Here is a 26,315-nt window from a genome sequence, read left to right as displayed (position 1 = left end):
CTAGAGCATCGAACCTTTGTAGAGCTAGGGGGAGCTTAGCAATAGTCTGCCCATGTCTCCCACCTCCTTGAAGGCCGGAATCCCCCTCCAAACCACACCTGGAGCTACTGGAAGATCCAGGCTGCTGAATCCCAGAGCAGTACCCTTTCTGCCCTACCCTGTTGTCACAGCAGTAGCCCTGAAATCTGGGGAACCCACAAACCAACCTGGGGGGCAAAGGACTCTGCCACCTACCTTTAACTAGTCTCACTTGTGGTGGTTGATGTGTAGTTGGGATCATCACCACCACATTTAATGGGAAGAATTTTGTAGCCTTTTGATGAGAAAACAAGGGAAGGTAGCATTAAAAAGTAATTCATATGAAAAATAGGCCGGGCGCAGTGGCTCACGCCTGTAATCCCAGCACTTTGGGAGGCCTAGGCGGGTGGATCACGAGGTCAGGAGATCGAGACCATCCTGGCTAACACGGTGAAACCCCGTCTCCACTAAAAAAAAAAAAAAAAAATTCTCCGGGCGTGGTGGTGGGCGCCTGTAGTCCCAGCTACTCCGGAGGCTGAGGCAGGAGAATGGCGTGAGCCCGGGAGGCGGAGCTTGCAGTGAGCCGAGATCGCGCCACTGCACTCCAGCCTGGGCAACAGAGCGAGACTCCGTCTCAAAAAAAAAAAAAAAAAGAAAAATAAATGTATGAATTGTTATTTTATAAAACCAATAGCATAATAGAGTACACAAATAATGAACCTGATTCAAAGACTGCCTTGGAAATATTGGAAGCCACTAACTTGAACTGATTTAACTTAGACTGAAAGATCTAGTGTGGCTCTGAGAGTTGGGAGGTTGAAGTATCTTAAGACCGTTCTTTGAGAATGGAGTTAAGTCCTACTTTTTTTTTTTCGAGACAGGGTTTTACTCTGCTGCCCATGCTTGAGTGCAGTGGCACTATCAGGGCTCACTGCAGCCTCCACCTCCCAGGCTTAGGTGACCCTCCAGCCTCAGCCTCCCAGGTAACTGGGACTACAGATGCACGCCACCATGCTTGGTTAATTTATCTGTGGAGACAAGATCTCAATATGTTGCTCAGACTGGTCTCCAGCTCCTGGGCTCAAGCAATCCTCCTGCCCTGGCCTCCCAAATTGCTGGGATTACAGGCATGAGCCACCACTCCCGCCCCAAATTCCACGTTTTTTTCCAGAAAGCGAATCTGTGATGGTGGAAAGGAAATTTAAATGAAAAGACTGGGGGAAAAGCAATTTATATCAATGATTGGAAAGAAAATCTTCAAATTCTAGATTGCAAAGAGACAAGCAAATTTCCCTTGGTAGCAGAAGACACAGGAGTCAGAGAGGGAGGCAGCGTGGAATGAGCTCAGAGGCCTGAGGTAACAACCTCTTCGGTGGAGCGTGGTTTTCCTGCAGTGCTTGAAATAAGCACCAGCTCAGGGGCTTAGGGACAGAAATGATGTGAATGTCAAAGCAGCAAGCAAAATGACTTTTCCCTTCCTCTGGCTTCCCTGAAAGCACATTTAAGATATACTGTTTAAAAGTGAGAGATCTAGTTAGGGGGACTTTAATACTTCCAAAGTACCTACAAGCAGTACTCAAGTCTCCTTCTCCCAGGCTAACCCTCCCATTAGTTTGTTACCTCACTTTTTCTCAGAGAGGGGTCTGGGGAGGTGGCTCAGGCAGGCTGCTACCCAAAGACAATGAAAAGGAAAAGCCCCTGGTGCGGTGGCTCAACACTTTGGGAGGCCAAAGGAGGCCAACACTTTGGGAGGCTGAGACAGGCAGATCACTTGAGCCTAGGAGTTTGAGACCAGCCTGGGCAACATGGCGAGACCCCATCTCTCCAAAAAATACAAAATGAGCCAGCTATGGTGGTGTGCACCCGTAGCTTTAGCTACACTGGTAGCTGTGGTGGGAGGGAAGATCGCTTGAGCCTAGGAGGCGGAGGTTGCAGTGAGCCGTGATCACACCACTGCACTCCAGCCTGGGTGATGGAATGAGACCCTGTCTCAATAAAACAGAAAAAGCTTAGTTCTTACTTAGCACAGCTCGATGCTTCCGCCTAAGAAGCTCACATTGGCTCCCAATGTGACTGTTGCTCCCTTTGAGAGATTCCTTTGCTGAAATACTACTATTTAGCCTTCTCTATCATATTTCTGTCTTATGAGTATGTGTGGTGTTGAAAAAAATAAGGTTTTCAGTGACTTCTTACATATCAGCTTATGGCTTGTGTACGCAGCAGAACTATTCTTATTATTGTGACTATCGGTTCCATCCAACATTTACCAATACGCAGAATGGAAACAGAAGTTCCAACGAATGTTCTCACTGAATGAAAGGGACTGCTAAAACATGCTTTGCTGTTCAGGCCTTCCCTCCTTCTTCCCTCCTTCAATGTTAATATATATCAGGCTGAAAGCATTATTGCAGTATTTTTCCAAGGTAATACATCTTTGGTTCATGCAAAGTAGAGTAATTTTAATTATTAAAAGTTTATACATTATTAAACAATTGAACCATGTTTGCTAATTTTATAAACATGTAAACAATCAGTCTAATTAGTTTAACCCACCAAACTTGTACAATGCCTTTATCCTTATATAAAAATGAAAAGCATCTGAGATGTTCAGAACGTCCAATATCTAAAGCCAGGATTAGTTCTTAACTACCTGAGGTGTTTATTATACAGGTGCATCTCATTTTAAATAAACCTTATAAATAAAACTATAATAAAAAGATGGGGGCCAGGCGCGGTGGCTCATGCCTGTAATCCCAGCACTTTGGGAGGCAGAGGCAGGCGGATCACGAGGTCAGATCGAGGCCATCCTGGCTAACACGGTGAAACCCCGTCTCTACTAAAAATACAAAAAATTAGCTGGGCGTGGTGGCGTGCGCCTATAGTCCCAGCTACTGGGGAGGCTGAGGCAGGAAAATGGCCTGAACCCGGGAGGCGGAGCTTGCAGTGAGCTGTGATCACACCACTGGACTCCAGCCTGGGTGACAGAGAGAGACTCCGTCTCAAAAATAAAAATAAAAATAAAGATCGGGGCAGTAAACTTCCCTAGTATATTTAATATAGAATTATATAGAATTTAACTTCTCAAAGTTTTATGTACATGAAGGGAGACTGTTTCTATCAGATATAAAAATGTATTGTAAAACAATATAATGGGAATAAGGATACAAAGATCACTAGAACAAGAGTCAAAAAGATTCAGAAAGTATGGAAATAGACCCAAGTAATATGGGAATTTAATACATGGTAAAGGTGGCATAGCAAATTGGTGGAACAAAAAAAGTATTATTCCATATTAGGAATTGGGAACTAATTAGCCATTTGGAAAAAGAAAAATAATGCTGCCCATACACCTTACATCAAGATAAATTCTAAGTGGATCAAATATTTTAATGTAAAATAAATAAAGCCCACAGAGTACTAGAAATGTACTAGAAAGAAATGGTGGTGAATATATATATATATATATATATATATATTTTTTTTTTTTTTTTTTTTTTTTTTTTTTTTTGAGATGGAGTCTCGCTGTGTCACCCGGGCTGGAGTGCAATGGCGTGATCTCGGCCTCCCAGGTTGAAGCGATTATCGCGCCTCAGCCTCCCAAATAGCTGGGATCACAAGTGAACATCACCAAGCCCGGCTGATTTTTGTATTTTTAGTAGAGATGGGGTTTCACCATGTTGGTCAGGCTGGTCTTGAACCCCTGACCTCGTGATCTGCCCACCTCGGCCTCCCAAAGGGCTGGGATTACAGGCGTGAGCCACCGCGCCCAGTCTATTATTTTTATCATATTAAAGTGTGAAAGGACTTTCTAAGCCATGGAAGCAAAATGCTTTTAAATACGTAAAGAGTTGTCCGGGCGTCTGTAATCCCAGCACTTTGGGAAGCCAAAGCAGGTGGATCACTTGAGGTCAGGAGTTTGAGACCTGCCTGGCCAACATGGTGAAACCCTGTCTTTAAAATATAAAAATTAAAAATTAAAAATATAAAAATTAGCCAAGCATGGTGGCACACACGTGTAATCCCAGCCACCTGAGAGGCTAAGGCATGAGAATCACTTGAACCCAGGAGGCGGAGGTGGCAGTGAGCCGAGATCACACTACTGCACTCCAGCCTGGGTGACAGAGACTCTGTCTCAAAAAAAAAAAAAAAAAAAAAAACATAAAAAGTGTTAAATGCTTAAAATTCTATAGGTAAAGATAAACATAAACAGGAAACTTGGAGAAATAATTTCAACACATGACGAAGTATTGATTTCCTTAATATGAAAGATATATTTAAAAATTAGTAAAATATCAGTAGAAAATGGGCAGAGGACATGAACCAATTTACTGAAAGAATATGCAAATGGCCAAAAACTACATGAACAACTCCATATTACAATTAAAGCAAAATTAGATTTTAACCTATTAGTTATGAGAAGATATTAATAGATGTGAAAAGCCCTATATAAAAACACTAGTTGGCTGGGCATGGTGGCTCACACCTGTTATCACAACACATGGGGAGGCCAAGGCAGGAGATCCATTGAGGCCAGGAGTTTGAGACCAGCCTGGGCAACATAGCAGAAACTTGTCTCTGCAAAAACAATGGTTTTTTTAATTAGCCAGTCATGGTGGCACACACTTGTAGTCCTAGCTGTTAATACTTGGGAGGCTGAGGTGGGAGGATCCCTTGAGTCCAGCAGTTTGAGGCTGCAGTGAACTATGATCACACTTGCACTCCAGCCTGGGCAACAGCAAGACCCTGTCTCTAAAACAAAAAACAAAACCCACATTAGTTAATATCACCTCCTATTTTCGTTTTGCAAAGTCCATATTTTTGTTTTAAATATATTATATGAAAAATAAGAGCCCTGCTGTCTTTAGCAATGATTGACTTAGAAGTATAGTTCTCAAACTTCTGTGTTCATCAGAATTCCCAGGAGGACTTGTTAAAACACAGATTGCTGGGCCCCAGCCCAGAGTTTATGATTCACTAAGTCTAGAGGGAGACCCAATAATTAGCCTTTATTTTATTTATTTATTTATTTAGAGACAGGGTCTCACTCTGTTGCCCAGGCTGAAATGTAGTGGCACCATCACGGCTCACGGCAGCCTTGACCTCCCAGTCTCAAGCAATCTTCCTACTTCAGCCTCCCCAGTAGCTGGGACCGTAGGTGTGTACTACCATACCCAGCTAATTTTTTTCTGTTTTTGTAGAGATGGGATCTCCCTATGTTGCCCAGGTCCTGAACTCCTGGGCAGGATCATCCTGCCTCAGCCTCTCAAAAGTGCTGGAATTACAGGTGTGAGGCACTGTGCTGGCCACTAATTAGCCTTTCTAACAAATTCTCTAGTGATGCTGGCTTGGCTGCATCACATTTGGTCCAGGGACCACACTTTGAGCACCACCAGCCTAGAATAAATTGAGTATTGGAAAATTATGGTTACCATCTTTGAAGAGCATTGTCTTAGAGAGACAAATAGGAGAATAATCTAAAGTAATGGCAAAACACTTTAGGTCTTTTATTTAAATGCCTTTCTCCTAAATTTACATCAATAACCAGTAACTTATTCATAAGCAACTAATCACACTGCTCATAAAGTTAGATAGGGCTTATCTTCTAGACTTTTTGCATTTTCTAATGTACATTAGGTTAATGTACATTAATGTGCATTTTCTAATGTACATTAGATTCATGTACATTAATGTGCATTTTCTAATGTACCCATGCTTGACCTTTTTTTCATTTTGGTTGTACTTAGTGTCTTAGTCCTTTGAGGAACTGAAATGTCATGTGTTAAATACAAGTGAGTCCCATTCAGAGTCTTAGGTGCGTATCTTCCTGTTACATTATTATTTCTTTTTAAAAGGCTTACTTCAAAAACTTGGCAGGTAAATGTTTCAATTTTACATTAAGAAGGTAGACTGGTAAATCATGAGAAGTTCATATATAAACCAAGATCATTTGTTTGAATCTGCATTCGCCTAATAATCTCGTATTCACTCCCTTCATCTTAGATGTAGCAAGATAATTCTAAACACCCCTTTGGCTCTTAGGCATTTTAAACTACTTTAGGAATTTCTACAGAAAACCATTTATCTTGTTTATAGTTCTCTATGGCTACAATTATAATACAGTGTAGCTTTTTCCCAGAAATGGTAGAAATGTTTAAATCCTCCGTCAGTTCCTTTACTTTGTCTAATATTAAACAGATTTTTCCTAAATACCAAGGTGGGTATTTGTTTCTCGAGAATTATATTAATTACCAGATGAACCTTAAAATAAAAACTTAGAAGCATCAGAAATATCCATTTTCCCTATCCCAAGAAAACTGTTTCATCAAGGTCAAATCTATTATAATTTTATACACATACTTAGAATATAACTGAGAAGTTCAGTCACCATCCACAAGTTAGCAAGAAGCACTGATTAAGTGTTTGCACAAAAGATGGCAGTGAGTTAATGTCCCCAGTAGGGTAGCAAAATTAACAAATGAATTAATTAACCCTTATTTACATTCTATTTTAAAGCCAAGATTTAAGTAAAGCTTTTGTCAAAGGTATTTAGCTGAACTTGGTTTACAAACTAAAAGTGCAAATGCTTTGTGGGCTGCCATCAGGGAAAACCTCTCCTTAATTAACTCTGGGGCTTAAAGTGTAGATAAAAAGAGCATTGCAGGACATACCAATTGTTCTTCCCAGATTTGGGTCTTAGCAGGTATCTGGGCATGTGTTAACTTAAAGGACCAAGTTGCTAGTAATAGAAAAGGGGCCACATTCACATGAGAACCCTGGAATCAAATAGGCTTACTAGCTCTGGAACCAGATAAACCTCCAGTTATTATATTATATTATATCTATTATTTTCTTACTGACTGACTTAATAAAAATGGGAGAACTCGAGGCCGGGCGCGGTGGCTCACGCCTGTAATCCCAGCACTTTGGGAGGCCGAGGCGGGCGGATCACCTGATGTTGGGAGGTTGAGACCAGTCTGACCAACATGGAGAAACCCCATCTCTACTAAAAATACAAAAAATTAGCCGGGCGTGGTGGTGGGTGCCTGTAATCCCAGCTACTCGGGAGGCTGAGGCAGGAGAATCGCTTGAACCCGGGATATGGAGGTTGCAGTGAGCTGAGATCGCACCACTGCCCTCCAGCCTGGGCAACAGAGCAAGACTTAATCTCAAAAAAAAAAAAAAAAAAAAAAAAAAATGGAAGAACCGGCCAGGCGCCGTGGCTCACAGCTGTAATCCCAGCACTTTGGGAGGCCGAGGTGGGCAGATCACGAGGTCAGGAGAACAAGACCAGCCTGACTCCATCTCAAAAAAAAAAAAAAAAAAAGGGAGAACTATTGTAATTTTATTTTATTTTATTGAGATGAAGTGTCGCTCTGTCGCCCAGGCTGGAGTGCAGTGGTGCGATCTCAGCTCACTGCCACCTCTGCCTCCCAGGTTCAAGCAATTCTCCTGCCTCAGGCTCCCAAGTAGCCGGGACTACAGGCATTAGCCACCATGCCAGCTAATTTTTGTATTTTTAGTAGACACGGGGTTTCACCGTGTTGGCCAGGCTGGTCTCAAACTCCTGACCTTAGGCAATCTGCCTGCTTCAGCCTCCCAAAGTGCTGGAATTATGGCTTAATTTAGCTGGGCACAGCTAAATTAATCCTATTAATCATATTTAATTCATTTTACCTTAGAATGTCTAGTATCCTGTGTATGTCTATAAGTACATGCATAGCATATAGGCTCACATGGAAGCATAAACTATACATGATATTGGCTGATTTCCTATTCAAGCAAATTACAAATTGTTTGCTTATGTTTACTTACACAATAACAAATAAAACACCAACCCAAAACATTTAAATAACCAGGATCCAGTAACTACCCTCCTTAGCTAAGAGATTTAAGTAATCTTGGTTTTTTGGAAAAACCAGTAATAGCTAGTGGCTGTATGGGGGGCGTTGCATAGTAGCCATACGCAAAGCCGCACTCACATGCCTGATAACGTGCACTTATTTCTGAGCCCCACCCCATTCGTTGTGGGCTCTGCAGAGTGGAAACCAGCCAAGGCTCTGCCCTGCTCTGCAGGCCTGTCCTTTTGCTTGTCAGAGATGCAACCAAACTGAAGCCTGAATTTCAATCCAAGTGAAATATCTGAGGCCATTGCCTGAGCCAAAAATAAAAATGCAGCAGGAGAAGAACCCAACATGAACACAGCAGAAGCATTTCAGTGACCTCAACTCGGGGCAGCGGCCTTTAGCAGTTTCCTGTGACCTCCCTGTGTGCAGCTAGAATCTGGAAGGGTGCAGACAAAGCCATTGGGCCTGTCTCTAATTGGTCTCACATCATCAGCATTCCAGAACAGGAAACTCTGCAGCCAGGAATTCTTGCCTCTTTGCCATAATATTTGAGAAGCAAACCTTTTCCCCCTGCACATACTTAGTTCTGCTAGTTTGCAGCAGGTTCATTTTCCTAGTTTCAATAACTACAATAAGAGCATCGTGTCTGGCCTATCTCTTGGTGATGGACTATTAGATTTCTAGGGTATGAACTTCTTCCTCACTTGCTATGGGTCAATAAGCTAATGTTTGGGTCAAAGACTGTTCATAAAATATATAGTCTCATTCCATGGTGCTTTTTTTTTTTTTTTTTTAGACTCTCTCTCTGTCGCCCAGGCTGGAGTGCAGTGGCATGATCTCGGCTCACTGCAACCTCTGCCTCCTGGGTTCAAGTGATTCTCCTGCCTCAGCCTTCTAAGTAGCTGGGATTACAGGCATGCATATGATGCATTTATTGAAATTCAAAGTGAGATTTATGCTGCCCCAAAATGGGGGAGATGTTCCCCTGCTCCTATCCCAAAGAAGGGGACCAGTTCGTCAGGGCACACACAGATAATTAGGAGTGCTCACAAGAGCATCCACAGAAGTTGAACTCTGGTCCTCCCTTCCTGGTCCCATGTCTTGTGGTGTATCCAGTGTTGACATGCACCCAGTTAACTCTGGTGCAGCTGTCCCAACAGTTAAAACACAAACATATTTCCACATAGGCTGGTAAATGGCTGTCATCTCTAGCTGGCCCTCCTCATCCCCATCCCCCCAAAAAACTTGACAACATTTAACAATTATGTTTTTTTCCCTTGGGAAGAAGAGGCACTGATAAGGATTGGGAGAAGGCTAAAAAAGGAACCCTTAATTTTTAATTGAAATTTTATTAAATAGGGGCAAACTCAGCTCCTTTTGGCCAAATTCCTGAGTCAGAGCTATATATACTAGTTCATATAAGCTATTTCATAGCTTGATTAATCAATGCAAATAAATGAAATAAAAAGTAATGCTTTACATCTTAAGGTTCATCTCATGCAGTCCCAGCTTATGAGTTTGAGACTCTCTGGGGAGGTACCAAAACTACGTTCCTACTCATTAACTCACAGACCTTGGAGCAAGACAATTTGGAGAGAGGAGAGTACAACCCAGAGTAGCTCCCCCGGCCCCCAAATCCTGCACAAAATCTGCAAGTTGGAAGAAACTTTAGATTAACCCAAGCTTCTCTTTTACTTCTGTGGAGAGTGAGATTTAGAGATAAAGTAACTTACCCAAGACCCCTGTGACACCAAGGCCAACCTGCGCCAAGGACTCGGGGCTCCTCACTCAAGCTGAGGTCTACTCTCTGTAGTAAGTACCCCATTGAAGTAGTATTGGTCTCCTTTTTATTGCAGAAGTTGTTGAAACCGGCAGGGTACGGTGGCTCACACCTGTAATCCCAGCACTTTGGGAGGCCAAGGCGGGCGGATCACAAGGTCAGGAGTTCGAGACTAGCCTGGCCAACGTGGTGAAACCCCGTCTCTACTAAAAATACAAAAAAAAATTAGCTGGGCATGGTGACGGGTGCCTGTAATCCCAGCTACTTCGGAGGCTGAGGCAAGAGAATCACTCGAAACCGGAAGGCAGAGGTTGCAGTGAGCTGGGATCATGCCACTGCACTCCAGCCTGGGCAACAAGAGTGAAACTCCGTCTCAAAAAAAAAAAAAACAAGTTGTTGAAACCTAACTGCTTCACAGTTGCATAAAAGCAATTTATTTTATGAAGTAGATGTAAAACTTTTAGCTTTGCTTTGTTAGATGGCCCAGGTAGGACATAAAGAAGCAGAAAATACCACAGAGAAACAGCCCAGAGGTTCTTGGCCAAAGAGCAAATAAATGGGACTAAGACGCACCACCAAGACGGCTTTTAGGTAGAATTGAAAAGTCAGGCCGGGCACGGTGGCTCACGCCTGTAATCCCAGCACTTTGGGAGGCCGAGGCAGGTGGATCACCTGAGGTCAGGAGTTCAAGACCAGCCTGGCCAACATGGAGAAACCTCATCTCTACTAAAAATACAAAATTAGCCAGGCGTGGTGGCACATGCCTGTAATCCCAGCTAGTTGGGAGGCTGAGGCAGGAGAATTGCTTGAACCCAGGAGGTGGAGGTTGCGGTGAGCCGAGATTGCGCCATTGTACTCCAGCCTCAAGAGCAAAACTCCATCTCAAAAAAAAAAAAAAGAAGAGGCTGGGCGCGGTGGCTCACTCCTGCAATCCCAGCACTTTGGGAGGCCGAGGTGGGCGGATCACCTGAGGTCGGGAGTTTGAGACCAACCTGACCCACATGGAGAAACCCTATCTCTACTAAAAATACAAAATTAGCCAGGCTTAGTGGTGCATGCCTGTAATCCCAGCTACTTGGGAAGGCTGAGGCAGGAGAATCACTTGAACCTGGGAGGTGGAGATTGTGGTGAGCTGAGATCGTGCCATTGCACTCCAGCCTGGCCAACAAGAGCAAAAACTCTGTCTCAAAAAAAAAAAAAAAGAAAGAGAAAAATCAGAGTGAGTTGATAGGGAGTGACAGTGATGCACAGCATTGCGTCACTGATATTGACTTCTTAAATGATATTCTAAATGATTTCCATTTAGGTTGGTGCAAAAGCAAGTGCGATTTTTGCCATTAGAAGTAACAGAAATCACTGGTTAATATTAATATTAGTGGTTTCAACTATTTTAATCAAATGATGTGTTTAAAATACGTACTTGTGAAAGTTAAATGAATAAGTACACTACACTGGACCTTATTGGTTGGTAAGAACGTAAGCCAGCAGGTGACACTTGCAAATTCAGTGTGGGAGTCCTGTGTAAGTATCCCTGGGTACTCCCTCTGTGATGCATTTTCCACTAGATTAGGTCAGTGGTTCTCAACAGGGATGGTTTTGCCCGCAGAGGCATTTGGCAGTGTTTGGAGATATTGCTGGTTGTCACAACTGGGAGGAGGGGGTGACATGGCTATTGGCATCTAGCCGAGAGAGGCCAGGGATGCTGCTACACATCCTATGATGCACAGGACACCCCCTCACATCAAAGGATTATAACTCAAAATGTCAGTAGGGCCAAGGTTGAGATCCCTAGGTATGAGAAAACATGAAGCAATGAATGTTTTCAAGAAAAAAAAAAACAGAAAAACCCATTGGATGACTTTGGTCAGTAGCAAATGTCTCCCTGCAGTTGCAGACACTGCAAAGGGAGGACGTTAGTCTTTGTTTTCTGTGATGTACAGCAACATCCAACAAGCAGTGAAACTGCTTATCACTGGACTGGATGACTCAGAATGAAGACACCAGCTTTCATTTCATGTATCACACAGGAACACCAAAGGGACATTTCTCTTTCATTACCTGTTGCAATTTTCAGCAGAGATGATTACATTGGTAGATTTGCCTTATAAGAAAGATGTGTTCCTGAAAAGTTGTATGTGCTAAATCATATTTTAAATACAGTCAAGAAACTCAGTGAGTACTCAGGGGGGCCAATGAATCTTTTTTTTTTTTTTTTTTTTTTGAGATGGTGTCTTGCTCTGTCACCCAGGCTGGAGTGCAATGGTACAATATCAGCTGACTGCAGCCTCTGTCTCCTGGGTTTCAGCGATTCTCGTGCCTTAGCCTCACAGGTAGCTGGGATTACAGGCACACGCCACCACGCCTGGCTAATTTTTGTGTTTTTAGTAGAGACAGGGTTTCACCATGTTGGCCAGGCTGGTCTTGATCTCCTGACCTCAGGTGATCCACCCACCTCAGCCTCCCAAAGTGCTGGGATTACAGGCATGAGCCACCGCACCCAGCCCAATGAATCTTTTTTTTCTGGTGTGGGGGAGGTGCAGGGGGAGGGAGTCTCGCTCTGTTGCCAGGCTGGAGTGCAGTGGTGCAATTTCTCGGCTCTCTGCAAACTCTGACTCCCGGGTTCAAGCGATTCTCCTGCCTAGCCTCCCGAGTAGCTGGGATTACAGGCACACACCACCACACCCAGCTAATTTTTGTATTTTTAGTAGAGACGGGGTTTCACCATTTTGACCAGGATGGTCTCGAACTCCTGACCTCAGGTGATCCACCTGCCTCAGCCTCCCAAAGTGCTGGGATTACAGGCATGAGCCACTGCACCCGGCCAATGAATTTTTTTAAAGTGAAAAAATAAAATCCTATTCTCAAAGAGGAACACACCCATATATTACATTTTTTAATGTAAATATTTATCCTGAACTTTACATTTTTATTACAGGGCTCCATAAATCTTATGTAAGAGAACAATTTCCCTTTCTCCTTCCTTTTCCTCCCCTTATTCTTTTCCTTTAAAGAGAAAAGGGTTGGGGGAGGGATTAACTATAGATTCTTGGAATTTGGAAAGTCATTGATCAATCTATCCATACTACAGTTTAAAAGATACCTGCTGGGTTACAAATTGTTAGAAAATAGGACTTAGTTCTATTTTGAAATCATTAATTTTTTTTTATCTCATGCTTTTTGTTCAGTTACTGACCTTTGGTTAGAAAGAGCAGGTGCGCTCAGCTCTTCCATCACCCCATGGGTGTTTGCTGCACCAGAAATATCCGATAAGACCCAATCTCTTCACTCACTGCAGCCTGGTATCAGCAGAGATAAGGGAGTGGTACTGAAGGAACCCAGGGTTTTTCCTCCTTATCAATCACTGCCCTGGGGCAACATCCCTAGGTGTATAAATCACTGACTAACCCAGCAGGGGAAAGGGGGCTGGAAGGAGGAAATTTATATGATAAAGCTATCATTAGTGTCACTTTAGTGATAGAAGGTTACAGAGGTGTGACCAGTGGGGACAAAGCCATTGCCACTAGGAAGGAGCTGGCCCAGATGAGAGAGGCTCTAGAAGACATGGGTCTGACCTTTATCCTCACTGGAAGGAGGAGGGGGCTGGGAAGAGGAAGATGCTAGAGGTGACCCTGCCATGTCCAGGATAGCGCCTGTGTCAAGGAGACGGGTACTAGAGTCACCTGTGAGGGGCGGCGTCGCAGCCTTTGCGTAGTCCTTCCACTTAAAAGTATATTTCTCATTTTAGTCTCACAGCAACCCAGTGAATAGGAAGGGGTTCACCGTGAGCAGCATTTTACAAATGAGAAAACCAAAGCACCAAGAACTTAAGTAGTAACTTGCCCACTGTCACTCAGCTACAAAGGATTTGTGGTTTGACACAGGTGTTCTGATTGGAAGCCCTACGTTTCCCTATGCGATGGCTCCATGCTCTCGCTGGGATGGCCAGGCCTCAGCCGGCAGCGTGGTGCTCGGTAAGAGCCTTGGCTGGGCTGCCAGGAGCCCTGGGTTCCAGTCACAACTCTGTCTCCAACTCACTGCGTCCCCGGTAGGCAATCCCTAGCCCTCTTGGAGTCTCTTTTCTCATCTAGGCAAGGAGGGGGTTGACTGAGATGTCCTCAGGTCTCCATAGTGACATGGGTGAAGTCAGGCTGCAATGCAGCTGCACAGAAGGCAGCAGGCAGCCTGGGGGGCACCCTGGCCGGAGCAGTCCTTGCTGTTCACTAAGCACTTCCCACCACGGCCAGGAACTGGGAATACACTGCATCCATGATGTTACCTGAGCCCCGCAGCACCCCAGGAGGTGGGTGCTATGTAGTCTCCATTTAGCTGATAAGGACACTGAAGTGCAGGAAGCTCAGAAAGGCGACGTGACTTGCGTAAGGTCATTAGTCTGCTCAGACTGTCACACGGAAGACCACAGACTGGGTGGCTTAGACAACAGAAATGTGTTGCCCCCAGTTCTGGAGGCTGGAAATTTCAGATCAAGGTCCCAACAGGGTTGGTTTCTGGAGAGGCCTCTCCTCCTGGCTTGCAGGAGTGTGTATGTCCCCACAGGGCGCTGCCTCTGAGGCATGCGGAGTTGGGGAGAGCAAGCTCCCCAACTTAGGACACTTCTAAGGACACTTCTAAGGACACTTAGAAGAAGTGTCCTTCTTCTAAGGACACTTATGAGCTTGGATCAGGGTCTCACCCTCATGACCTCATTTAATCTTTTTTTTTTTTTTTGAGACAGAGTTTTGCTCTTGTCACCCAGGCTAGAGTGCAGTGGTGTGATCACTGCAAACCTCCACCTCCCGGGTTCAAGCAATTCTCCTGCCTCAGCCTCCCGAGTAGCTGGGATTACAGGCATGCGTCACCACGCCCGGCTAATTTTGTATTTTCAGTAGAGTCGGGGTTTCACCATGTTGGCCAGGCTGGTCTTGATCTCCTGACCTCGGGTGATCCGCTCACCTCGGCCTCCCAAAGTGCTGAGATTACAGGCATGAGCCACCATGCCCGGCCTACCTCATTTAATCTTGATTACCTCCTAAGCATGGTATCTCCAAATATAGTCACATTGTGGGTAAGGGGTTTAACATATGACTAACGGGGACACAGTTCAGTTCATAGCAGTCACACAGCCAGGAATTGATGTGAAGCTCCTTGCTGGCTGGCCTCACCACCTGTATGTTTCACTTGACCCAGAGAGCCAAGCTGGGGGTAGAGCTGCTGGGTGCAGGAAGTCTTGTCTTCCTGTGCCTCTGCTGGAATAGGTGTGCACGCACACACCCACATACACACACACTTTCTCTTTCTCCCCCTTCCAACCCCCCACCCCGCAACAGTGTGTCTCCATCCAAGTCACTGCCTCCTCTCCAAGGTATGAGGGTGGGTAGGAAGATCTTCCTTTCACTAAGCCCTCTGGGTCCTGAATGGTGGTGGGGTAAGTCAGTGGCAGACTAGGAGATAATGCCCCCAAGACCATCCTGCACCTGGCACTGAAACTCAAGACGCTGTGAAAAAGCAAAAGAAGCCTGAGGCTGAGCCCTCGGGACTGGTTCCTTCGCAACCCTCTTCGAACCCAGTCAGTTCTGGACCCTCCCTGAATGCTGCAGGCTGAACAAAATTACACAGGTGCAATTCCCTGGGCTCCTAGGACTTGGTAAAAGTTGCCTGTTACCCTCGTGGAAGGATGAAAACTCAGTCCATATCGGCAAACCACTCACTGGAGCAGCTGTATTTGAGCTTGTCAGTTACTCATTATTAAAAGCTTTGCAGACCAAATGCAGTGGCTCACACCTGTAATCCTAGCACTTTGGGAAGCCGAGGCGGGTGGATCACCTGAGGTCAAGAGTTCCAGACCTGCCTGGCCAACATGGCAAAACCCCGTCTCTACTAAAAATACAAAAATTAGCCAGGTGTGGTGGTGGGTGCCTGTAGTCCCAACTACTCGGGAGGCTGAGGTGGGAGGATCACTTGAGCCCAGGAGGAGGCAGAGGGTGCAGTGAGCCGAGGTCACACCACTGCACTTCAGCCTGGGTGACAGAGTGAGACCCTATCTCCAAAAAAATAAATAAATAAAAACTTCGCTGTAAAAACAAGTTATTTAGACTCCCGTGCAGGCTTCCACCAAGCCAAACAACAAATGAGTCATCCACCTGGAATGTTTGCTCTCTACATATTACAATATCTGTCATATTGTTTGAAAAATGTTTTCTTCCCCACTGTCTCCTGCTTTAATGTTCACGCTCATGTTATAAAGGTAGACTTACAAAGGTAGGAGTTTTTTCCTAATTTTTAAAAAACTCACAAGATTTCATAGACCACAGGATGTCATTCAGAAAATGAAAATGTGTCATTTTATCTTTTCAAACTGTCAAATAAAGGCAGCTAGTTAACAGAGAACCACTTAGCTCGTGTTAACTGATGTAGAAAGCTGCCTCGCCATGGATGTAACGCTGTGGCTGTCACTGGTGTGCCGAGCGTTTTCACGAGGCACTCCCCTCTCATTTTCTGTCATTTCACTCTAGAGTCACTGCCAATTCCCTTCTCAATGGAGAGCTTCTGGTGTTCTGTCCATTGTCACTATAACCAGAATTGCTGGGTGACTGCGGACTCCCCCCCACTCATAAGCCCTAGTTCAGATCAGAAAAGCAAAAATGTTTTTCAAGTGAAATTCAACCTTGAGCATTTTGGAAAAACAAACAGTTCATTTCAGTGAGTCATCTCCCTTCCCATTGGCAGGGTTGTCCAGAACAGTAGATTGTGCCACCAGCTGCACCTGAGGCCACAGGGCTTCCCATTTGTGTCTTGCTGGCTTCAGTCTTGCTCATCATATCCATGGTTGACTTTTGCAGGTGTGAAAGCTGTGGAGCCGTTTTCCATTCTGAATGCAAAGAAAAGTCTGTCCCCTGCCCGAGGTGTGTTCGCCGAGAGCTGCAGAAGAAGCAGAAGTCTTTCTGGCAGAGACTGAACATGGACGAGAGTCTAGAGGAGGCTTGCACCATGTTCGAGCTGTCCTACCAGAACACCTGACTCCAGCCGACCCGAAGGCCAGGGATTCACCAATCAACAATCCATCAGCCCCAGAGCGGCCTCCTAACTAGCCAGTTAGACCCCTTTGGAAGAAGAGTATGTATCCTCTTCAACTAGATATAGATATATATATTTATTTATATATACGCAAATACCTATACGTCCTGTACGTATGCTCTGTGTACATCATTGTCCAGACGATCCACAGAACCTCTGTGGCTCGAGAAACTACCAATAGCTGGATTACACTTAGCCAAGAATTTCAGCTGCTTGCTCCCAGACAAAACGTGGTATACACAATGCTTTATAGTTCAGACTTTTTTTTTCTCTCTGTCTCTCGGTACATTTTATTACCCAAGACACAAAAGGAAGCATTTCCTGCACAAAACAGTGCTTTAGGTTATTTTTGTGTTATTTATTTTTAGCCTTCACAGAGGCTGAGGTAACTGAGGCAGGCACCCATCATCATCTGTTTCATAAGAAAACCTTCAAAACACAAGAGACTGCTGGGTCCTTCCAGGACCTGGTGTCCGTGGCGCTCCCGCCTCAGTTCCTCCTGTGGAGGCGGGGAATCACGTAAGCAGAGCCGATGGCTGGAAACAGGAGCCAAGCCCCCTCTGACAGAAAGCATACACCCCTCATTTATGAGGAGGGCTGGTTCTGGTTTTGAAGTTAATCTCAGAAGTTTTTTTCCTGAGAAGAGAAGAAACCTCTGCGACCAATAACTGCGTGTTGTCGGTCTGTTTTTCGGTACTAATCCCATCACCCACCTAATGATGTGACGCTCCACCGTGTTTTCCAGGCTGTACACATGGCTTTCTTAACAGTTTTCAACGGGTGCCCATGGTTGATATTTATGATTTTTTTCATGATGCTGGCCGGAGGAAATGTCCTGGGGTGGTTGTTAAAGACATCGTCGTGTAGACTGGTAGATAAGGCTATCTAGTAAGTATATTCCCAAAGAGGGTCGTTTTAGTTTCTTTTCTCAGAATCCTGTGGAGGCAGTTCCTACCTATTCATTTTAAGTGCTTTATTTCTCGTTGTTCTTCCTGCACTTTCATTTCGACCTTTGTCAATGTGACCATTCTTGCTTTCTCATTTTTTTGTTTAAAAAATCAGAGTAATGTGGAACTTCAAAATACCAACTTTGGACTATTAAGAAAATACAAACTTACAAGTATAATTAATGAATTAGATCTAATATTATTTAAATAAATATATATATATACACACACATATATAATTGCCACCTTGAAGTAAAACAAAGAGTGCTAAAATAAATAATAGGAGTAAGAAAGAGATCTGCTTTGCTATTTGGCAGGTAGTGTTCTCCAGCTGCAGTGCCCTTGGAAGAGCACGTGGCAGTCACTGTGACCAAAACGGCAGGTAGGACAGCCCTGGGACCCTGACAGCTCCCATTCCTTCCCCTTAACTCTCCCTAGAGCAAGAAAAATATGTTTATAATGGAACAGTTCTCAGTAGACTTTATGAGAAGATTCTGTAGCTTTCGCGCTGAGCAGATGCCTTCTATGTCTTCATGGTTTAGTAGTTTTGCTGCTATTAGGATCAGTGGCTCACAACATACTTGGTACATTCAACCCCATTGCTCCTTTCCCCCACACGCCGCTTCCCCAAGACCCCAACTCATGATACTTCCATCCATCTAGAGATGTGACATTTCAGACTGACTTTTGTGCAGTTAGATGTAAGCATTTTACCTCTCAACCCACACCAGTTCCTTTGGCCCCAGGCCACACATTTCACCTTAATAGCTCAACACCATACATGCATTTATTTTCTGACTATACAGTAGCCGCAACCAAGGCTTGAAAACTTGTTAAAAGGCCAGGGCCCTATTCATGAGACGCCTGACGGTGCCTTTTACCCTTAGAAAAGCAGGTTGACTTTTCCCCCACTCTAGTTAAAGAGAATGTTGCACACAAAAGAAAAAGGGTGGAAAATCTCAAACACTTGGCAACAGGCAAACAAATTTGATCATCTCCTTTCCTCCTCCTCTTGGTAAAATACAGTATTTATATTTTCCAGCCTCAGAGAAGATAGCAGAACATGATCTTTCACAAGAGAATTATAGACCTGCTTATTATAAAACAGATGTGCTCCCATGGCAAAGTGCCTTCTCCCTCCGCCCCCAGCTCCCTGTCACTGTAGCTTACTTTTGCCTTCGCTGTAATTAATGTATCCGTGATTCCAACTGTCAGCGAGGCCATTCCTAGCACACTGCATTTGGAGACCTGAAGTGCAGTGCCATCTCCTCCCCTTGTAACATGTTTGCCCTGCATACAGAATTTCCTCTCCTAGCTCACAGGCACCCAGGGTCATACCTGCCGAGAGTCAAGGGCGAAATTCTGGATCCCCGTTCAAAACATCTTTGTTTTCACCAGTCCCCATTTAGAGGGCCCTGCTAAATACGAGCAGTCCCTGTGAACTCCTAAGGAGGACTTTCCACCCACATCATTTTCTGCTTATTTTCAAAAGGGAAACAAAAAATCGATGTGTTATCACCATCAGCTACCCAGAGCTGGGTCCATGTCCAGCACTCCTGTTTCCTCTCCTTTTCGTACCACCCTGACAGCTTGGTCGGTGCCAGCCACAGGCCTATGACATTCTCTGCCACCACCACCAAAATCTGATAGGACAGAGTGGAGCCAGCTTAGGAGTTGGGTCTGCCATGAAAATTCAAAATTGCTGTTTTCAGCCCAGAATACCTTGGCGCACATGAACGCCCTTACTGTTTTCAACTTTAACAAATTACTTGGTGCACTGTTAGGTAATTGTTCCACTGCTTAGAAACTGTCGAAACAAAAGCAAATCTGTGGATTACCACCTCTTTCAGACCAAACTAATACCTGCTTTTCCTCGTGTTCCATTTTTCATCCCATATTAAATATCTTGCACATAAAACATATGAAAAAATGGCCAATTAATCTCCTGGAGCTGGCAACTGACTCCGGGGAACCGCTTTTTGCTGAAAGGCTCATTCCCTAGTGTATCACTTGAGGAAATCCCTCCTAAAAGTGCCAGAAACTCATGTGTGAGATCGTCCAACCCTGGTGAAATGTTGGCATCTAACCCCGCAGTAAAGAAGCCAGTTCCTAAAATAGACCTCATTTTGCACCGCGGCAGGAAGGCCACAAAGTACTTAAAAAGCCGTCAACTGGAATGGGGGTAGTGTTCTTTCCAGGCCCGCTTTTTCCAAAGTTAAAAGCCTCTTTATATGAAAACCATGTAAACTCTCAGCAGCCCCCTTTGCTTCACTGCCTTTTCTAGGGAGTGCATTAGAGTCATTTTTACGTCTGTAGTGCTAAAGGGTCACCTAGTTAGGAGCTTTAACATCGGATTCGCTGAGAGGGTCATCGGTTTTTGATTCTTCTAGAGTAGGCCTCCACCAAGAAGGGAATACGTCTAATACTTGGGATCTGTGGTTTGCAACACAAGTGGTATCCCTCAGACTCCTGAAAAGGGACTATGCCGTGACTTCCTTCCGGCTGCAGTGAGATCCGAGGTGTTTACACCACCCTAGTTGCCGAATGCAGCCTTTGCTCAGCTAGAGTGTGTCCTCTGACGGAGCCTGGCCTCTGTTTTTGTCTCTGTGTGTTGTGTGTACACACTGAACGTGGACATCGGATAGTTCTTTTCTGTGCCTCCTCAGAGAGGCTTGGCTTCCAAACCTGGGAGTTTGTTCTCTACCCATTGGCTAGAAAAGGCCGTCCATAAATTAGTATATCCAGGTGGGACTAGCACGATGCCACGCACACTGAACATTTTCTGCAGAGGGGCGTTAGCAGTGGAAGTAGAGACACATTCTGGTCCTCCTTTAGAGTCAAGCCAATGCTGTTGCTCGTGTATTTGTGCACAATTATTCATCTCCGTTGATCTGACACACTCTCTTGAAATCACTAGATTATGAAACAGATCTTCACCTCCTGATTCCAATACTGCCTGGTTTCAACACAGGGGTTGTTTTATTTTTTTACTTCTCCTAGTAAATAGAGATGTGTATAATTTTTGCCCATTTTATTTCTTGAGTTGTCTGCACCACTTCTTTTCTTACTCTGAAATAATGTGAAAACGTGAAGTTGGAGCAAGACCTTGAAAGAGCCTCCCTCCTTTGCGTGACCTGAATCGGTAGCGGCACTCTCTGTTTCCCCTGCCTCCGTGTCACTTGTTAGTGATGGGCATTAGGAGCTTCATATGTTGCACACCTTGTATCACTCTTCCGACCCTGAGTCAGGTAGAGCTGTCTGCTCGAGGTCGAATCCAGTGATGGGTGACTAAGCTCTGCTCGGTTAATGTAAACAGACAAGTGTTGATTTCTGTCATGTGGAACGGTGTTTCGACAGTTAAGTCTAGCACCCAGTAGTCTCCTTATTGGTAGACGATTCTAATTTCATTGGATTCAAAAATCTCTGACTCAAGGGTCTTTCCTTAGTGCGTTTTAATGGGTGCATGGCTGAGGGAAAATCCAAGTCATTGTTAAACTCTAGGTAAAAGACAAGAGTATGGGATACCCTCCTAACCATACCGGTAGTTGTCAGTTTTATTTAAAGTGGGTTCCACTTGGCCAGGATTGGTGGCTCACGCCTGTAATCCCAGCCCTTTGGGAGGCCAAGGCAGGCAGATCACTTGAGGTCAGGAGTTTGAGACCAGCCGGGCCAAAAATGGTGAAATCAGGTCTATACTAAAAATAAAAAAATTAGGCTGAACGTAGTGGCTCATGCCTGTAATCCCAACACTTTGAAGGCCGAGGTGGGTGAATCACTTGAGGTCAGGAGTTTGAGGCCAGCCTGGCCAACATGGTGAAACCCCCCTCTTTACTAAAAATACAAAAATTAGCTGAGTGTTTTGGTGGATGCCTATAATCCCAGCTACTTGGGAGACTGAGGCAGGAGAATTGCTTGAACCTGGGAGGCAGAGGTTGCAGTGAGCCGAGATTGCGCCACTGCACTCCAGCCTGGGCGACAGAGCAAGACTCCGTCTCAAAAAAAAAAAAAAAAGTAAGTTCCAAATGATCATGTTTTGTGGCACTGTCTTCGTAAAGTGGCCGCTGGTGTGATGGAAAGCATTGCTAAACTCAAGTGAGACAACTGCTGTTTTGCTTTGGATTTTCCCTGTGAAAAGAGAAGCCACTGCCTGTTCGTCTTGTTAGAAAGACAAGACTTTGAATGAAGTTCCAGACTTTGAATGAAGTTCCAGACTTTGAATGAAGCTGGTTGTTGCCCAGAGTAGAAGATTCAGGCACCTACAGCAACTCACAGCAACTCCTAACTCTTAGGAGGGCTCCCTCCTATTGGCCGTGAAGCTGCAAACCAGCCTCTCTCTTTTCCCTGGATCTTCCTTGCCCCTAGTTCTGAGCCCCAGCCCAGAGGCAGGCCTCATGGCTAATAAACCAGCTAGAGGACAGCTGGGGCCTGTGGCTCCTTCTCCATGTTGGCCTTCCCTTGTGTCTCTTGTCCCTGTAGGAGTGCCTTATAGTACTGTCTCGTGCTTCTAGTCTAGTCTGAACCACTTGAAGCCTGCAGGACCCTTCAACTAAATCTGGATCCCTTTGCTTCTTCCCTGCTGGCTACTCTTCATATAGATGCTCTTGGAGCCTGTGCATTCCATGATGCATGTCAGAACTCTCACCTTGTTCAGCCTGGTGTGCCTTAACCTCAGGAGTAAAGGGAATCATGTCGGAAACACGTCGTTAAAGTAGAATGGTACAAACATTGGCTTCTTAGTGCCATTAGCACTTTTACCAGGAAATGCAAAAGATGCAACCACATAATGTTTTCACTTTGTTTTATGCTGTTCTTCAATCGCTCTTTTTGTTTATTTGTTTGTTTGCTTTCATTAACCAAACTCAGGGGAATGTCATGATGTCACCAAGGCCAATGGGTAGAGAAATAAAAACCAGCCATCCATAATTGAATCTGTAAAGTCAGTGAACTTAGCCTTTTCAGGTTCAAAATTACACAAACACAAGGATTTTCTTATCTTTCACCTTTCAAAGGTTTTCTTTTTATTTTGCCACCTGTTTTCCAAATAAGAAGTGGGAAGCCTCTTAGATAAATTGTGATAAAAATGTCTCTTTGTTTGGCGTGAGCTATCAAATTAGCTTTGTGTGTCCACTGAGCCATCAAATTAGGCTTTGGCTGCTGGAGGCCTAGGTTCTAGCTTTGGTCACCTATCAGAATCTTACTGTTACGCTGGGCATGGTGGCATGTGCCTACAGTCCCAGCTATTTGGGAGGCTGAAGTGGGTAGATTGCTTGAGCCCAGGAGCCTGTGCAATATGGTGAGACCCATCTCAAAAAACAAACAAAAAAAGAAGTAGAATCTTACTGTGAATAGCTACTAGCCTACCCTAGAAGATATATATTTTAAATCTGTTTCTTAGGAATAGTAGCTAAAAGAAGGAATGGCCAAAGGAGGGAAAGTGGTTGGCCGCAGCGGCTCACACCTGTAATCCCAGCTCTTTGGGAGGCTGGGGTGGGAGGATCACTGGAGCCCAGGAGTTCAAGACAAGTCTGGGCAAGATAGCGAGACCCTCATCTCTTTGAAAAATATATATATATACTTTTTTTTTTAAAGGAGAGAAAATGCTTAGGTTGCAAATGGAGAGTATTGAACGTGGTGATGTAAAAAACTTCTGCAAAACTTGTTCTGTAGCTCCTGGGTCAGGTCTATGCCATTTTTTCTTATATCTGCTCACACAGTACAGAAATGACTAAAATTTTGGGTCTGGGCTGTTATATCACTTTGTGTTAAGTTATTTGTAGTAGCTAATGTGCTAACTTATATATGTGTTCTTTCTGTTTTTTGGATTTTACCTTTTGTTTTGGCATAACTTATCTATATTTTTGTTTACATTATTTTAAAAATATCAGTAACTGTAATAATATAAAATTGAAGTTGTATTGTTGACAATACCTCTAGTTTTTAAGGTCATCTGTCACATAATTTAAGTGCACCAGTTCCTAATGTATAAAGTTCTCTCTCTCTCTCTCTCAATAAACAATGCAGAAAATACTTTCCTTTCTCATAACAACTTGATTAAAATACTGCTCTTGAGGGGGTGGTGAAAGCCCAAGGTGAGCCCTATATATTAATTCAAAGTCAAGATTTGAGCTTTATTGAAAATGAGCCACAGCCAGGTGCGGAGCCCAAGGCAGGCAGATCACCTAAAGTCGAGAGTTCGAGACCAGCCTGGCCAACATGGCAAAACCCCCTCTCTACTAAAAATACACAAATTAGCCAGGCATGATGGTGGGCACCTGTAATCCCAGCTACTCAGGGGAGGCTGAGGCAGGGAGAATTGCTTGAACCTTGGAGGCGGAGGCTGCAGTGAGCTGAGATCGTGCCACTGCACTCCAGCCTGGGCGACAGAGCACGACTCTGTCTCAAAAAAAAAAAAAAAAAAAAAAAAGAACCACTTTTAAATTATCTCAAGTATCTTACAGATAGACTTTTAAAACAATTCATCAACCTACAATATTCTCATCAGCCCTTTCCATGCTCATGAAAAATGTAGTGTAACTTTTAAAAAGATGCAGGTGTAGTGTCATGGGCCTTATTTGCTGAATCTAAGCATGATTGCTTTCAGTTCCAAGACAAAGCTGCCAAAGCTCATGCATGGATGTTCTCCCACCAAAGCTTTTCCCCAAGCCTTCTGGCCCTGATTCCATTTCACCATTCCTGCACTCTCCAAATTAGATGGCCAAGTGCCAGGTGGCCAGCTAGGCAAAAGTGTTGGTCCTTCCTTCAGGGACCATATTTTGGGAGCAAAGAAGGAGCAAAGAGTGGAGAGTAAAGAAAAACTTCCTCCTCAAAACGGCAGCTCTCTGGGAGTTGAGAAATGATCAGAAATATCTGCAGGGCCTCATGCCTGGGCTGACCCTCACCCACTCAAAAGGCCAGGGGTACAACAACTATCCACTTGGAACCTTTAGAAGGCTCGATTTAAACTCACTTTCCCAAAGGAAGACATGGAAAAGAGACTAGAAAAGGTTCTTCTGGTAAAACATTTACCAAGATGAACCCTGAGCCTTACACCCTAAGACACACCTAAACAAGTTTATGCCTGGCCCCTCCCACTCCACCCTCAGGAAATCGGCCTGGGCTCACACCCACTCTGTCCAAGAAATAACTGGACTTCGTCGTCACACGAAACCTGCCACAATCCACGATAAAGAGAAACGGGTTAATGTTTCACTGAACCAAACTAGACATACGATGTAGTCAGAGCCTGGATTCATAATCAGATGAATCACACAGGACAGGTTAGCTTTCCCCCAGTTGTAGGAAACTGGCAAGGCTGGATAACTCCAGGAAGTTCTGACATCAAAGAGAAGATAGGCAAAAATGTGTCAGAACCGTGGAAAGAGACACTATTTTGTTCATCTCTTATCCTCAGGAGATGAGGATGATTGAATCTCCCTTAATTGTTTCCCATGTCCTGTTCTTTGATGACGGCTCAACATGATGGTTTAAATCCATGGTTCCTGCATTCGAAACACAGAAATAAAAGCAAAATCTCCGGGCCTCATCACAGACAATTGACTCAGAATCTCTCCGGATGGGGCTTGAGTATTTGTATTTTTTAAAAGCTCCCTGGGTGACCCGATGCATTCTGGAGGTGAAGAACCACTAGCTTAAACGAAGCAAGTTGCCTTGAAATAAACATTTGTTTGCTGTATTGATGGTCCACAGTGGGAACAGTGCCAAGAGGAATTGGAAGGAAGAACCGCGGTAGCTGCCCTGCAGTTAACAGCTGTTGCTTCTCTTCTTCCTAAAAGTCACAGCACTTTGGAACTTGCTGCTCATGGACTGCAATTGTTTGCATAAAGCCTTACCTTTACACCCCTTTTATTTTCTTCCAGGGTGTGATTAGCATGTATTTATCAGTATATCTCATTGCCAGAGAGCATTAGTGAATAGAAGTGTCCAGGTCGCAGCTGCAGGCAACTAAGCTGGCCTAAAAGGAGAGCTCTGTATGCTCCCATTCATTTTTTCATTCCTCCCAGTTATCCTGTGATTGGTCCTCAAATGCATGTGAGAGTCCGCTCCCAGTTGAGGCCAATCCAATGAATGTGAACCTCACACTCTGGATGGTGGTTTTTAAAACAGAAAATCACACCAGGCGAGGTGGCTCATGCCTGTAATCCTAGCACTTTGGGAGGCCAAGGCAGGTGGATCACCTGAGGTCAGGAGTTGAAGACCAGCCTGGCCAACATGGTGACACCCTGTCTCTACCAAAAATACAAAAATTAGCCGGGCTTGGTGGTGTGTGCCTGTAATCCCAGCTACTCAGGAGGCTGAGGCAGAAGAATCACTTGAACTCGGGAGGCAGAGGTTGCAGTGAGGTGAGATCGTGCCACTGAACTCCAGCCTGGGCAACAAGAACGAAACTCCATCTCAAAAAAATTAATTACTTTAATTAAACAAAATAGAAAATCACTAGGTGCTTCTTGCCCAGAAAGGCTTAGGAAATTCAGGAAATCTTGGGCTATGTCCAGATTCATCTTGCTTCCATAGAAGAACTAAGGTTTTGGGGAGGTTTTTTTTGTTTCTTTTCTTTTTTTTTTTTTTTTAAGCTCTGTCTCCCAGGCTGGAGTGCAATGACACGATCTTGGCTCACTGCAACCTCCACCTCCCAGG

At 44.4% G+C, this 26,315-nt stretch overlaps 1 protein-coding gene across 5 annotated transcripts in view, besides 3 other annotated features; it reads left to right on the top strand.

The window, feature by feature from the left end:
• The window catches only part of PLEKHM3 (pleckstrin homology domain containing M3), a 204,240-nt gene extending 180,553 nt beyond the window's left edge, over positions 1-23,687 (top strand). For all 5 annotated transcript variants that reach the window (XM_017004073.2, XM_005246545.4, NM_001080475.3 and 2 more), the window contains one exon: positions 16,479-23,687. In XM_017004073.2, the coding sequence (XP_016859562.1) occupies positions 16,479-16,656 (178 nt within the window). In that variant the 3' untranslated portion in view covers positions 16,657-23,687. The remainder of the gene's footprint in view (positions 1-16,478) is intronic.
• Positions 11,311-11,430: an enhancer, noted in NCBI's record as "active region_17048". NCBI's record gives its function as "activates an Ori minimal core promoter by ATAC-STARR-seq in GM12878 lymphoblastoid cells {active_cell/tissue: GM12878}" and the evidence as "EXISTENCE:reporter gene assay evidence [ECO:0000049][PMID:35858748]".
• Positions 14,608-14,657: an enhancer, noted in NCBI's record as "active region_17047". NCBI's record gives its function as "activates an Ori minimal core promoter by ATAC-STARR-seq in GM12878 lymphoblastoid cells {active_cell/tissue: GM12878}" and the evidence as "EXISTENCE:reporter gene assay evidence [ECO:0000049][PMID:35858748]".
• Positions 15,078-15,127: an enhancer, noted in NCBI's record as "active region_17046". NCBI's record gives its function as "activates an Ori minimal core promoter by ATAC-STARR-seq in GM12878 lymphoblastoid cells {active_cell/tissue: GM12878}" and the evidence as "EXISTENCE:reporter gene assay evidence [ECO:0000049][PMID:35858748]".
• Positions 23,688-26,315: the final 2,628 nt, after the last annotated feature.

This window comes from Homo sapiens, chromosome 2 (assembly GCF_000001405.40).
Source record: "Homo sapiens chromosome 2, GRCh38.p14 Primary Assembly".
NCBI classification, from domain to species: Eukaryota; Metazoa; Chordata; class Mammalia; order Primates; family Hominidae; genus Homo; species Homo sapiens.
Note: the sequence above shows the minus strand (reverse complement) of the source record. Positions and strands in the feature narration are given on the sequence as shown.